The 15,330-nt window shown below is 35.4% G+C and overlaps 2 annotated features.

Annotated features, from left to right (window-relative positions):
• Window positions 2,622-2,822: a silencer, noted in NCBI's record as "peak1798 fragment used in MPRA reporter construct". NCBI's record gives its function as "represses an SCP1 promoter by STARR-seq MPRAs in K562 erythroleukemia cells {active_cell/tissue: K562}" and the evidence as "EXISTENCE:reporter gene assay evidence [ECO:0000049][PMID:32103011]".
• Window positions 14,062-14,262: a silencer, noted in NCBI's record as "peak1797 fragment used in MPRA reporter construct". NCBI's record gives its function as "represses an SCP1 promoter by STARR-seq MPRAs in K562 erythroleukemia cells {active_cell/tissue: K562}" and the evidence as "EXISTENCE:reporter gene assay evidence [ECO:0000049][PMID:32103011]".

Below are 15,330 nucleotides of genomic sequence, written 5' to 3'. Positions count from 1 at the left end.
TTGGGAGTTCGCGACCAGCCTGACCAACATGGAGAAACCCCATCTGTACTAAAGATACAAAATTAGCTGGGCGTGGTGGCATATGCCTGTAATCCCAGCTACTTGGGAGGCTGAGACAGGAGAATCGCTTGAACCCGGAAGGCGGAGGTTGTGGTAAGCCGAGATTGTGCCATTGCACTCCAGCCTGGGCAACAAGAGCAAAACTCCATCTCAAAAAAAAAAAAAAAGAAAGAAATCATTACAGTAACATTAATAAAAGTAAGATGACAAAATATCTGAGGCATGGATAGCATAAAAGGCACCATTACTAAGAGAAGTTACCTATTGCTGGAACATGGAATTGTAAGAATAGAGAAAGTGGGGAGATTACCATCTGATGAGCAACATAAGCTTAGATGAGGGAGGCCTGGGTTTTGTGGAGAAGGGGTAAATGATGACTATAATGTCTGAAGACTAAGAAAATCAGAAAGACTGCTCTCAGCAGGCAAGAACATTTTATTTGATACTGTATGACCACATGTGAAAAGAACATCTTATCTGATTCTGTATGTGTTACTCTGATTCTATGCATGCCAGTAGTGTTATATTTCTGCATTGGACATGGGAAAATTGTAAACATCAATGATCAGATGTTTTCTAGGACCTTCTGAGGAGTCACAGAATCCTTCAGAAAGAGGAGACTGGAGTTGGTAACTTAAAGCAAAAAGTAATGGAATATTGATTGGGTTTGAGTTGTGTGTGAGCCTAATAATTCACAATTGAACAGTGGAGAATAATAGTGTAACTACCATTTATTGAGTACCTTCACTATACCAGGTACTGTACTACTTATTTTACAAATTGGATCTGATTTAACTTACATAATAAATGAGGCATTTTTTTCAGTTTTAGAAATGAAAAAAAAATGAGATGAATTAGATGCATTCCAAAGACTGGAATCTGTAACTTAATAGGAAGTTCCAAGACGGCATGTTTATACAAGAAAAGCCTGGTAATTTCAACCCAGGGATGATGAGATAGTATCATCTACTTTGTGCTTTATTGCAGAAGTTAAGACATGAGCTAAACTTGGGTTATTAGTGGAGAAGTAATTATCAAAATCTTGTCTTCACCTTGCTACCTTTTCAAACATTAATCACTAGCTGATATTACTATGCTAAACACGTGAATAGAATCCCAAATATCATGGAGGTTATCTTCTAGTAAGGGAAAAAGATCACAGACAAGTAGATAAATATTAAAGTAATTTCAGATAGTAATATTGCTGTGAAGAAAACGTGATGGTAAGATGGGTGAGGTTAACTTTAATTAGGGTGGGTAGGGAAGGTTTCCCTGAGGAGGCAAAATTTGAGCTGATTGTCAATATGAAATCAGCCATCTGAAGATCTGGCAGAAAATAATTTCAGATAAATAAAGTAAATATTTGGGAAATTTTCTGATTATTAAATTCGGATGGTCTATTTTATAGCCCTGTACTGTTTCAGAATTGACAATATTTCATTGAATGAAGAGTTTCAGTTTGTCCTGGGAAGTATTTCCCCTAACTCTTTTAATATTTAAACACTCAGTGGTCCAGTTTGTTTCTAAGATTCCACTATCAATATACTGGCTAGCCTCTTGTATGGAGGCCTCTTGTGGTCTTTTCTGCTTCTGTTCCTGCTCCTAAAGGAGAAAGCATCTCCCTAGCTGTGGTAGATCGTTTATAAAGACTGCTACAATAATTCCTCCCATCTGTATACATTTCTTTTTTTTTTTTTTTTTTGTTTGTTTGTTTGTTTGAAACAGAATCTCGCTCTGTCTCCCAGGCTGGAGTGCAGTGGTGCGATGTCGGCTCACTGCAAGCTCCGCCTTCCGGGTTCATGCCATTCTCCTGCCTCAGCCTCCCGAGTAGCTGGAACTACAGGCGCCCACCACTAAGCCCGGCTAATTTTTTTTTTTTTTTTTTTTTTTTTTTTTTTTTTTTTTTTTTTTTTGAGACGGAGTCTCACTCTGTGGCGCAGGCTGGAGTGCAGTGGTGCAATCTCGGCTCACTGCAAGCTCCGCCTCCCGGGTTCACGCCATTCTCCTGCCTCAGCCTCCTGAGTAGCTGGGACTACAGGCGCCCGCCACCGCACCCAGCTAATTTTTTGTATTGTTAGTAGAGACGGGGTTTCACCGTGGTCTTGACCTCCTGACCTCGTGATCCGCCTGCCTCGGCCTCCCAAAGTGCTGGGATTACAGGCTTGAGTCACCGCGCCTGGCTAATTTTTTGTATTTTTAGTAGAGACAGGGTTTCACCGTGTTGGCCAAGATGGTCTCAATTTCCTGACCTCGTGATCCGCCTGCCTTGGCATCCCAAAGTGCTGGGATTACAGGCCTGAGCCACAGCTCCCGGCTTCCCATCTGTATACATTTCTTTGCAACTGTGATTTTGCTACTTCTTTCATCAAGTGGTGAAATCCTTTCTCTGCACCCTTAAAACTGGGCTGGCGTTCTGACCTGCCTTACCAATAGAATGCAATGGAAGTAATATTTTGGGACTTCTAAGCCTAGGCATCAGGAAACCTTTGAAGCTTTTGCTCTTATCCTCTTGGAATGTTGCCATCACCATGTGAAGATGCCCCAGCCAGTCTCCTTGAGGATGAGGAGACCACATGGAGACAGAAGGCCAGCCAAAGCTGTCACCAACTCAGCAGACTTTTGAGTAAGGCTATCTTGGACCATGCATCCCAAGTGACCTCCAGATGACAGCATCTGCATGAGTGACCTAATGTGAGGTCAGCAGACAAACCATTCAATTGAAACCAGCTCATGTTTCTGACCCACAGAATTATGAACAAATAAAATGTTTGTCATTTTAAGCCACTAAGTTTGTTATGCAGCAATAGATCATGATGAAACTAGCTAAGCTCCAAAAATCTTTCTCTGGGGCTTTATGTCATTTTGCACTGAACTTGAAGTTGCTGACTGAATGCTTCTTCAAGAGGTCTCTTGAAAGATGCCAGAATACATTACACTAAGCTTTCACTTATTTAAAAAATTATTTCACTTCAAGAATGTGTATCAGCAGAATTGAAAGATTGGTTCTACTCTTTGATGGAGAAAGGATTCTTCACTTATTATTCTGAACTAATAGGCATATTATGATAGCATTGAACCTGCACAGATAGATTCATAGTCCTTTCTCACTATTTCCAAACTCTTGCTTTCTTTTAACACAAACTCTAAATTCCCAGCTTAAGAACTTCTACATTCTGTGCTACTCACCAAGTGTGGGTATCTGGCATTCTGAGTACCAAAATCTTGACTACTGTTTATCTATTGATTACTGGTATTTCAAATACCTGCCATTAGTAGTTGAAAGGGAAATTTTGCTTTGGGATGTTATGAAGATATAATTGAGAGTAGCAGAACCCACATTAATGAAGGAATCATATGTAGTTTTAGCATACTATGTAGCTCGGGTTTTAATTAGTGCCTCCTCCCTGTTAAGATTTGGAAGGATAGGAAGACATTGGTTACTGTGATCTTTAAATTTTTCACTACTTGACTACATTTATTTATTTATCTATTTATTTTGCTACTAGCTACACTTATTCTTTTTTTTTTGGCTGCTAAACAGATCCAGGTTGAATTTTCCTTCTTCAGTTAAAAAGAATGCCTGTTATATCTCGTTTTAGGCACCCTCCCTTTTTGCTCCTATGAAGTTTGATGAATAGAAGTAAGTTTCTGATATGAGTATTTACTTAAAGGTCTTCCTCTGTCATACTCACAACTCCACCATCCTATGGTTATGTTGTACATCGCTTAATCAGTGTCCCTTTTCCACTACCCTATCATCATCAGCTATGGTAAAGTTATCCATTTGCTAGCCCACTGGGGTTTGTGTGGTTTATCCAAGCAATGACACTTGAATATGAATGATACTAGTTTCTCCAATGGTTTTCTTTGTTGACCATGCAATATCTTGAGCATTTATTTTTAACTCCAGTTTTTCTTCATGGTGTCATATCCCTCTTAGATCACCCTCTTTCTATTCTAAGCTTGTGTTACCTTTTAGCCTAGGCACTCAACTTCCTGCTTCCTGTTTAAAAAACAGGTCTCAGTTTAGAGTAGAAATAAATGGCATTTTCTGAACTCAATTGTTGAGACTATTCTCCTGTTATTCACTGGATTGCGTATCCAGCTCTGCATACTTCCCCATTACCTGGTGATTAACATCCACGTGTTCTTCAGAGATAATGTTTCTAAATATCCTTTAGTTATGGTATTATAGTACACAACACAAACCTTCAAACATTTTTAGATGATGGACAGATAAATCTCATTAAGTACTTTTTCTTGAGGGATAGCAGATTTATAAATGGCATGTTTTTATAGATTTATGAATCTTTAACATTTTCATTTTGGGAATCATCTTCTGTGATTTCACATTTTTAGCCTCTAAATGTGAAAGGCTAAGAGCAAAATGAGCTGGAAGTGTTTGTAGGACTCTAAATCTAAATTTTGAGATATATGGAAGAGTATGTAGACATTGATTACTATTTATGAGGTCCTCCCTTAATGAAACAAAACATAAAATCCCAAAACAATACTCTAAAATTAAAAGTCAATTTGTTAAGCCTAATACTTCTTAATTAAATTTTTTGGATGACAAAAGTCCTACATGCATATGTTGTCATTATGAAAAATTAATATTATTTGGGAGCATGTAGAACAAAAACGTAAGTATTTCTTATCTTAGTTTGGGTTCTTCCCAAAGAAGAGTCTAAGAAAATGACTTCAGTATAGGTATTCTGATTGGGAGGTGATCCTAGGAAGCACAAGAGGAGTGAAAAAAGTGAGACGGGAAAAGGAAAAGGGCCAATAAAGCGTGTGGTAACAAAACAAATGGATTGCTACTGTAGACAATTGAGGCTCAATTTTGCTGGGGAACCTCTAAGGAATCTTGTAGGATTGTAGAAATGTACTTCAGAATTGTCCCCCTAAACGCCATTCTTTTCCTTAATATATTTGTTTAGTCCTAGGCTAATACCTTACTGTTTTATTCTAGTTGCATAGTATGTTTTGATTTCTAGTAGAATAAATTATCTTTCCTATTATTCTATTATTATTCTTTTTAAAACTCAGTGTTTATAAACCTTTTCTGTAATTTTTGGAATAAGCTAATTAAGATTTATTTTTTAAAAATACTGAGGAGATTTGAATCAGAATTGCATTGCTTTACAATATAGTGTCTTCCTATCCAGGAACATCGTATGTCTTCATTTGTTGGATGTTTTATGTGTTTAAGTTCTAGTTTTTAAAATAGATTTTGTACATTTCTTGTTTCATTTACTCGTCAATATTTTATAGTTCTTATTGCTACTGTGAATACAGTCTTTGTAGTATTTTAAAAACATGTATAGCGAATTCCTATAATTTTATGGTGCCTAAGCATCTATTTGAATATAGATTGGACTTTCTCATAGCAGAAGCAGGGCTTACTTACCCTTAACCCAGTTTTCAGTTTCCCACTTCCTCCTAGTTTCTCCGTGTGGTCAATCCAGATATCTTTCTTGTACAACTGCCTCCTGGTGACCACCTTCCTGTGAAACATGTAGATATAACCTACTTGACCTGCCCCGCTGACCCCCACACTTTGCATGGACTGCACAGATATACCACGGTGACCACCTCTCAGTCACAGTGTCCCCACAGAACTCATGCTTTCTTGCTTTAAATCAGCCCATTAGAATTCCCCTTGGGAAACCTGCTTGTGTAATGTCCTGGGCCCCAATAAAGGCTTGTCCCATAGCTCCTCTCTCTCTTTCTCTTGTTCTTTACCTTCTGCTTGAGTATACATGTCCTGGATGATTCCCCCTTTCCAACAGGCTTTGTGAAGCATGCTGCCCTCTTCTCTCAGGGATCTGTATGTAATAAAACTGTTTCTATTATTCATGTGTTTTGTTGTGCCTCCTCTTTTGTGTCTCACCTGACCAACACACCTGAATCTAGCATCTGTCCTAGACAGGGCAGAAGGCTCTTCTAAAGATTAGGGCCCTCCTATAGAATGGCTATCTTGGTAGGAAAAATGGACTCCAGTCACATAAGGGCCACAGTATAAACAAATTTCCTGTAAGAGGGACTCCTGGTCACAGTTTAGACACTTAGGCATTAGACTGTCAACCAGGATAAAGAACTATCCCGAGAAATGCACAATGTAACCATCTACAACTACCTCCCCTGGAGTCCCATCAGGACAGGGCTACAATTATAGCCACTCCCTAGAGAAAGACCTCTAGACCAAAGTTTTTTAAAAATTATGGAACATGTTATTAGTAATGTGTAAGAAAGCTATTTATATCTGCAGATAGATAATGTATCTAGCCATCTTATTAACTGGTTAATTGTAGGCAGATTTTTATCCCTTTACATTCTCTCCTTTTCAAACCTCTTTTATTAGCAGAAGGAGACACAATCTTGCTGCTACCTTTTCCATCCCATATTCTTGGAGATTAAAGATAAGACTATAGTTTATTTTTCTGACTCTTAACTATAGCTTACTTCCCTTTTGGGAAGGGTAAGTAATCAATCTAATTTCCTCTACCTCCAATGTATACTGGTCCACTGAAATACGTTTTTTTTTTTTTGCCTTTCACATTCTGGCTTAACTATGGCTAGAATTTTTTTAAAACTTACTAAATTCTAATGGATATCAAGGAAATACTGGAAACAATAAAAACAAAAACCTGCATTGATAGAAGTACAGAATTTTAACCATAGCACTGTTTACTTAAAAATGATAAACATTTTAAAAATAAGAAACATTTATTCCCAAATATCAACATATTTCTTTCCACTGTAACTGAGCCTCTTCTTCATTGTTAATTCTGCTGACATAAAAAAGAAGTAGAAAAGCTTGTATATAGTTCTTTGGTATTGATTTTATGTTAATAATCTGTTTATAATGTAATGTTATATACTTTATTCCAAATTCAAATATAAATTATTCCTAATAATCCAACTTTTTAAAGTCCTTGCCCTAGTCCAAACCAAGTTCTTGTTACCCCTATCCCTTTCATGTAAATCTTTTTACGAAACTATCTGAGCTTCTGAATTTAAGTAGTAATATTAGCATTGTCATCAAGAGGTTTGAAATCATACAGGCCTGGATTTGAGTTCCAATTCAATTATTAGATGTGTGAGTTTATGAAAATTAATCATCTTCTTTAAGGTTTGGTTTATTTTTGTAAAATTAGAGGTGAGGAATAAAAGATAAGTAATAAATCAAGCTGTTTGACAGGAATTAGAAATACATTATATTAAACCCTAAGAGATGAATGAAACTATAGCATCAAAATAAATAACTCAGTGGGTCCTTTTGCTATAAATTCAGGCATACCAAATTACTCGTAGTTTCTTGGCCATCCTATGGAGTTTTATATCTCTGTACCTTGGCACATACTGCTTTATCTTCCTGGAGTTTTCTCTCCACTTTTGCCCACCTAGTCAACTATTCCCAATGAGCTAATACAGTACATATGTGCCTTCCTCATGCAATGTTTTAGGTCATACTGTTCAAAATCAGCTTCACCAAGATTCAGATTAATTACTATGTCTCTTTAAAAGCTCTCCCTAGTGTTCTATGCTCCTGTAACACCTGATGCTTACCCCGTCCTAATACTGATTACATTGTATTGTTATTTTTATTTATCTACCTGTGTCCCCTCCATCACTGTAAGCCTCACTATGCATTACATATTTGGCATCTAGAGATGAGTGTAACTGTGTGAATTAATGGACACTTACACTGCAATATCCATGTACCATAACTCACCTAACCCTGGAACTTCTGAGCTCTTCAGTTATTCATTCATTCCATCCATGCATTTATCAATTTCATCCACTTATTCCATCCATCCATCCCATTTGTTCCATACAACCCCACATCTGTTTTATCTATCTGTTCATTTATTCCATCATCCTATCCATCCATTCCTTCTTTCTTATTCATCCACCCATCCCATCCATCCATTCCATCTCTCCAGAAAACAACATGTGATTGGCACTAGAGATTAAAAAATGAGAAATATATAATTTCTGATTTCAAGGAACTCATAATGAGAAAGTGGCACAAGCTAAAAAATATGTCACTTTTCTATTTTTTTGTAGTTACCAAAATGAGAACTTATGGTAATAATAGCATTATTTTTAGTTAACTACTTTTTATTTTTCAAAAATACAATAAATATTTGTTTACAAGTGAAGTGAGATTTTACTTTTTTCTGGAATTCAGTATCACATAGCAATTTTTATGGCACAAGAAATAACATTAAATTTCTGGAAAAAATATAAATCTACTTTTTCCAATAGTTTAGTAAACTTTTAAAGGAATAGTGAATAATGTGTCTTCTAATATAATAAATAATGCTTTTATTTTAAAATTTATTTTATTTATATTGGTATATAATAAAAATGTTTATTACCCCCAAAATACATATTTTTGGGGTACATATGACATTTTGATACCTGTATGCAATGTGTAATGATCAAATCAGAGTATTGGGATATCAATCACCTAAAACACTTATTTTTCCTTTGTGTTGAAACATTATAATTCTTTCATTCTAGCTATTTTGAAATGTAAAATAAATTATTAACTATAATTTTGCTACTGTACTATTGAATACTATAATTTATTTTTTATTTTTTATTTTTATTTTTTGCGATGGAGAATCACTCTGTCACCCAGGCTGGAGTGCAGTGGCATGATCTCAGCTCACTGCAACTTCAGCCTCCTGGGTTCAAGCAATTCTCCTGCCTCAGCCTCCCAAAGGCTTTTAGCTCCCACAAAGGCACGAGAACATGCAATATTTGTCTTTCTGTGGTCGACTGATTTTATTTAACATAATGACTTCCAATTCCACCCATATTGCTGCAAATAACATGATTTCATTGATTTTTATGGCTGAATAATATTCCATTGTGTATATATACCACATTTTCTTTATCCATTCACCCATTGATGGACACTTAGGTCGATTCTTCATCTTAGCTATTGTGAATAATGCTGCAGTAAACACGGGAGTGCAAATCTCTCTTTGATACATTAATTTCCTTCTTTTGAATATGTACTCAACAGTGGGATTGCTGGATCATATGGTAGTTCTATTTTTAGCCTTTTTCAGAACCTTCATACTTTTCTTTATAGTGGCTGTACTATGTACATTACATTCCCACCAATGGTGTATAAGGGTTTTCCTTTCTTTATCCTTGCCAGCATTTGTTATTTTTTGTCTTTGATAGTAGCCATTCTAACTGGGGTAAGATGACAACTCATTATGGTTTTTGATTTGCATTTCCCTGATGACTGGTGATATTGAACATTGTTTCATACACCTATTGGCCATTTGTATGTCTCCTTTTGAGAAATGTCTACTTAGGTCTTTTGTCCATTTTTAAGTTAGATTTTCTTTTTCCTTTTTTTCTATAATAACTTTTAAGTTCAGGGGTACAAGTGCCAGTTTGTTATATAGGTAAGCCTGTGTCACGGAGGTTTGTTGTAACAATTATTTTATTGCCCAGGTATTAAGTCTAGTACTCTTTAGTTATTCTTCCTACTCCTCCCACCGTCCACCATCTGGTAGGCCCCAATGTCTGTTGTTCCCCTCCTTTGTGTTCATGTGTTCTCATCATGTAGCTCCCACTTATAAGTAAGAACATGCAGTATTTGGTTTTCTGTTCCTGCATTAGTTTGCTAAGGATAATGGCCTCAAGCTCCATCCATGTAAATAACAGATGCTGACAAGGTTGCAGAGAAAAAGGAATGTTTATACACTGTTGGTGGGAGTCTAAATTAGTTCAACCATCGTGGAAAGCAGTGCAGCAATTCCTCAAAGAGCGAAAAACAGAACTACCATTCAACCCAGCAATCCCATTACTGGTTATGTCCCCGGTGGAATGTAAATAATTATATCATAAAGACAGATGCATGCATATGTTCATTGCAGTACTATTCACAATAGCAAAGACATGGAATCAGTGATAGGCTAGATAAAGAAAATGTGGTACATATACACCATGAAATACTACACGACCATCAAAAAGAACAAGATCATGTCTTTTTTTTTTCTTTTAAGTTGGTCAAGTTCCTTGTATATTCTGGTTATTAATCTCTTGTTGGATGGATAGTTTACAAATATTTTCTTCCATTGTTGGGTTATCTCTTCACTTTGTTGATTGTTTCCTTTGCTGTCCAGAAGATTTTTAGCTTGATGTAATCTCATTTGTCTATTTTTGTTTTTGTTGCTTGTGCTTTTGATCTTATCCAAAACTCTTTCCTCAGACCAATGTACTGTAGTGTTTCCCCAATGTTTTCTTTTAGTAGTTCTATCATTTCAAGTCTTACATTTAAGCCTTTAATCCATTTTGAGTTGATTTTTGTATATGGTGAAAGATGAGAATCTAATTACACCCTTCTGCATATGAATATCCAGTTTTTCTAGCACAACTTATTAAAGAAATTGTCCTTTTCCAAATGTATGTTCTTGGTTCTTTTGTCGAAAATGAGTTGGGTGTCAAGTGCTTGAATTTATTTCTGGGTTGTCTATTCTGTTTCATTGGTCTATGTGTTTGTTTTTATGCCAGTACCATGCTGTACTGGTTACTATAGTATTGTAGTATATTTGAAATCAGGTAGTATGATTCCTCCAGCTATATTCTTTTTGGTCAGGATTGCTTTAGCTATTTGGGGTCTTTTGAGGTTCCATACAAATTTTAGGATTTTATTTTTTATTTCTGTGTAGAATGTTTTTGGCATTTTGATAGGGATTGCATTGAATCTGTAGATTTCTTTGGGTAGTGTAAACATTTTAATAATATTAATTCTTCCAATCTATGAGCATGGGATATCTTTCTATTTTTTGGTGACTTTTCAATTTCTTTCATCAGTGTTTTATGGTTTTCCTTGTAGAAGTCTTTCATTTCTTTGGTTAAATTTATTACTAGTAATTTTTTGGTAGCTATTGTAAATGAGATTACTTTCCTGATTTCTTTTTCAGATTGATCACTGTTAGTGTTTATAAATGCTACTGATTTTTGGGTGTTAATTTTGTATCCTGCAACATTATGGAATTTGTTCATTAGCTCTAAGTGTTCTTTGGTGGAGTATTTAGGCTTTTTAAAATATAAAATCATATTGTCTGCAAACAAGGATAAGTTGGCTTCTTCCTCTCCAATTTGGATACCTTTTATTTCTTTCTCTTGCCTAATTGCTCTGGTTAGCACTTCTAGTATGATATTGAATAGAAGTGGTGCATGTGGGCACCCTTGTCTGATTCCAGATTTTAGAGGAAAGTCTTCTGATTTTTTTTTAACATGATATTCACTGTGGGTTTGTAATATATGGCCTTTATTGTGTTGAGGTATATTCCTTCTATACCAAATTTGTTTTATGGCTTTTGTCCTTCATTCTGTTGATGTGATGTATCATATTTATTGATTTGCATTTATTGCATCCCTAGGATAAATTCCACTTGATCATGATGAATAATCTTTTGAAGATGTTTTTGAATTTGGTTTGCAAGTATTGTGTTGAAGATTTTTACATCTATGTTAATCAGCAATATTGGCCTGTAGTTTTCTTTTGTTGTTGTTTCTTTGTTTGGTTTTGTTATCAGGGTATTGCTGGCCTCATTGGATGAATTTAAAAGTATTCTGTCATCTTCCACTTTTCAGAATAGTTTGAGCAGAATTGGTATTAGTTCTTTAAATATTGGTGGAATTCAGCAGTGAATCCATCAGGCTTTTCTTTGATGGGAGATGTCTTTTATTACTGCTTCAATCTCATTACTTGTTATTGATCTGTTCAGGTTTTCTATTTCTTCATAATTTTATCTTGTTAGGTTGCATGTGTCTGTGAATTTATCTAGTTCTTCTAGGTTTTCCAATGTGTTGGTGTATAGTTGTTCATAGCAGTCTCTAATGACATTTTTTATTTCTGTGGTACCAGTTGTAATGTTCCCTTTTTCATCTCTAATATTTATTTGGGTTTTCTCTCCTTTTTTCTTAGTCTGGTTAAAGGTTTGTCAATTTTCTTTATTTTTTCAAAAAAGCCCAACTTTTTATTTTATTGATCTTTTGTATTTTTGTCTCAATTTCATTTATTTCTGCTCTGATCTTTATTATTTCTTTCCTTCTACCAATTTTGTGTTTGGTTTGTTCTTGCTTTTCTAGTTCTTTGAGGTGCCTTATTAGGTTGTTCATTTGAAATCATCCTATTTCTTCAATGTATGCATTTACTGCTGTGGACCCCAAATATCTGAGACAGGTCTCAGTCAATTCAGGAGTTTATTTGCCAAAGTTAAGGATGCACACCCATGACACAGCCTCAGAAGGCCCGGATGACATGTGCCCAAGGTGGTCGGGGCACAGCCTGGTTTTATACACTTTAGGGAGACATGAGACATCAATCAATATATGTAAGATGTACATTGGTTCTGTCCGGAAAGGTGAGACAACTCAAAGTGGGGAGGGGGCTTCCAGGTTATAGGTAGGTAAGAGACAAATGGTTGCATTCTTTTGAGTTTCTGACTGGCCTTTCCAAAGGAGGCAATCAGATATGCATTTATCTCAGCAGAGGGATGACTTTGAATTTTATCTGTCCTTTGTCCACAAGGAAATTCCTTGTGAGGGAGGTATGTAGCTTTTTAATCTTAATAGCTGTCTTTTTTAGGAATAGAATGGGAGGCAGGCTTGCCCTAAGCAGTTCCCAGCCTGACTTTTCCCTTTGACTTAGTGATTTGGGAGATCCCAAGATTTATTTTCCTTTCACACTTCCACCTTTTCTTTTTAAAATCTTTCAGAGAAAGCGTTTTAGAAGAAAATGAGTCTCTGGTCTCAGATTTTGTCTGATCTCTCATGGTTAAAATAGTTTATTCCTAGACGGGTAGGTCCCATGTTGTTAGGAAAGTTCATTTTTAGCAGGTTGTGAAGTCTTACATCCTACAAAGAGAAACTAGGGTGAGGAAGGGAGAAAAACAACAACAAACAAAAAAAGAACAATCCTGGAAACTCGATTACTCTGAAGCCCATACATCAGTAGGCAGGTATGAAAGTGGCTTATGTGTGTAAATAGGCTGCTGTTATTTTCTTCTGAAGTTTAAGTTATCTAGCTTCAGTTTGCAAGTCTTTAAGAAAGCATAGCTTAGCTTTCAGTGATTTTAAATCAGCAAAAATAGGGGAAAAAGAAAAAGAAGAAAAAAATTGAAAAGATTATTTTGGAGACTTATAGCCAGGAAAAATTAGAATTCAGTCTAAGCTGAAGAAAATAATAAAAATTGAAAAACATTAGGCAAGACTAGAATCTAACAACAGATGTACTATAGTTTTTGATCCATAATTTCTCTCTCTCGTTTCCCATTTTTACTAAAGACAAATCATGGTAGGACTGATTTACTTTATTATACTTGGCCCGACTATTTTTATAAAGTGCAGCAAGAATAATTATTTTTCACATGGGCTTTTAAATTGGCTTTGATAGAACTTTGTTCTATAGAAGGAATCTCAGAAAGTCTTTTTAAAAGCTGATCCCAGTCATGGCTCTGTACCGTCAAATACCTATTGAGTTGGGTAAATTCTTTTCCTCTTGAGGTCCCAGGATAACTTGGGACTCCTGGGCCTCTCAGAAAGTGACGTTCTTTACTTACCACAGATCAGAAACCCTGTACAGGGACTGAGGAGACAAGGTATGAGGCCAGTTTTCCCAATGGGCTTTTATTGGATCTATAAGTCAAGTTTGGTTCCTTAAGGAAAGCACACCATTCCAGTCAAAGTCTTGGTAAAATAACCAGTTTCTCTAATGGTATCCAGTTGTAACACATGCTTATTGCACTGATGCGAATAACTATATTCCTGTAAATTAAGAATACTCACAAATAGTTTCCAAACCCTGGAGAAATCAGGTAGAGAGAAAGAAATATGCTCCAAATTTTGTTCACAGTAGTGTACTTTCTTCAATTGCTACAAGCTGTAAATAGCTCACATTAGTTTTCTTAATTCTGAAAATCAAAACAAAGGATTAGCAACATTTTTTGTGGGTTTTTAAATTTTATTTTATTTTACTTTAAGTTTTTTGTTATTTTATTTTATTTTACTTTAATACATGTGCAGGATGTGCAGGTTGGCTACATAGGTAAACATGTGCTATGCTGGTTGATCGGCAATGTTGTAAGCAAAAAAGTCAAAAATGATTACTTCAGTCTTCTCTTAGTTCAGGCCATGCATGTTCTGCTTGATATTCATGAACATTCAAGCTCTCCATGAGACTCCTGAAAGTTTTTCTTCTAATGTCACAATCTCCAAAGTTATCAGAACCTTGCATTCAAGAACACCTGTTAGAGTTTCATAGCTGATTATAAAACTACCTTCTAAAGAGGACCAAAACCAAACAACAAATGTCCATAGCTGACAAAAAGTGTTAGGGCAGCCACAGTCAAAGACAAAATTGACAAGGAAATTTGTTACCTCTGTGGTAAATAATAATTTAGCATAACAATTATAATTATTACTGATAATGTACACTAAGTTGTATCAGAATTATAGGTGTTTCTCATAATTTTGGAACACATGCCAATAAAATATTTATACAAATAAAACCCAAACAAAGCCAAACACCATTTCATATTTGACAATGCTTCCAGTAAGATTTTTATATCGAATAAGCCAAATATGTCATTTTTGGACTTTAGGGAAACTAATATCTTAAAGGATTAATTATGTCAGAAAAAATACATAATTTATCATTTGATTTTGGAAAGTTTGTCAAGTATCAAAGGTTTAAAACACTGATATCACAAAATAGGATCACAGGTCATTGTAAAATAAGTCATTTATTTAACCAAAGTGATAACTCAAAGATTACCACCAAAAGCCAAAAACGTTTATCCTTTGAGAGAGGAGAGTTAATTTTACAAACAATAAGCCTTAATAAAAATAGCAAGAGGACAATTAGTTTTGTTTTTCAAAAATTTATAAACAATCTATAACATTTTAGTCATCAATGATAAGATATAATTTCCATAAGCCTTTATAACCTCTATTAAGGAGTGGGTTAATTCTTCAAGAAAACCTTGTTAATCTGACAGAGGGGCCCATATGCTAGTTTTACATCAGTGTGCCTTTGACATTAACGGTTAATTCATAGAGAATGAATGAACTTATGAATGAATTTATTTCATCTCTCAAAATTGGCCCCTATAATCTCATGCACCCACCTCTTCTGTGATAGTCCCTGGGCCCTGAGGAGTTGAATGGCTTTAATTTTTGGCCCTGTGTTTCATGAACGAAGTTTATTTTGATTGGCATCTTCTA

This window comes from Homo sapiens, chromosome 12 (genome assembly GCF_000001405.40).
Source record: "Homo sapiens chromosome 12, GRCh38.p14 Primary Assembly".
Taxonomy (NCBI): Eukaryota; Metazoa; Chordata; class Mammalia; order Primates; family Hominidae; genus Homo; species Homo sapiens.
The sequence above is the reverse complement of the archived record's forward strand: the minus strand, read 5'-3'. Positions and strand labels throughout refer to the sequence as shown.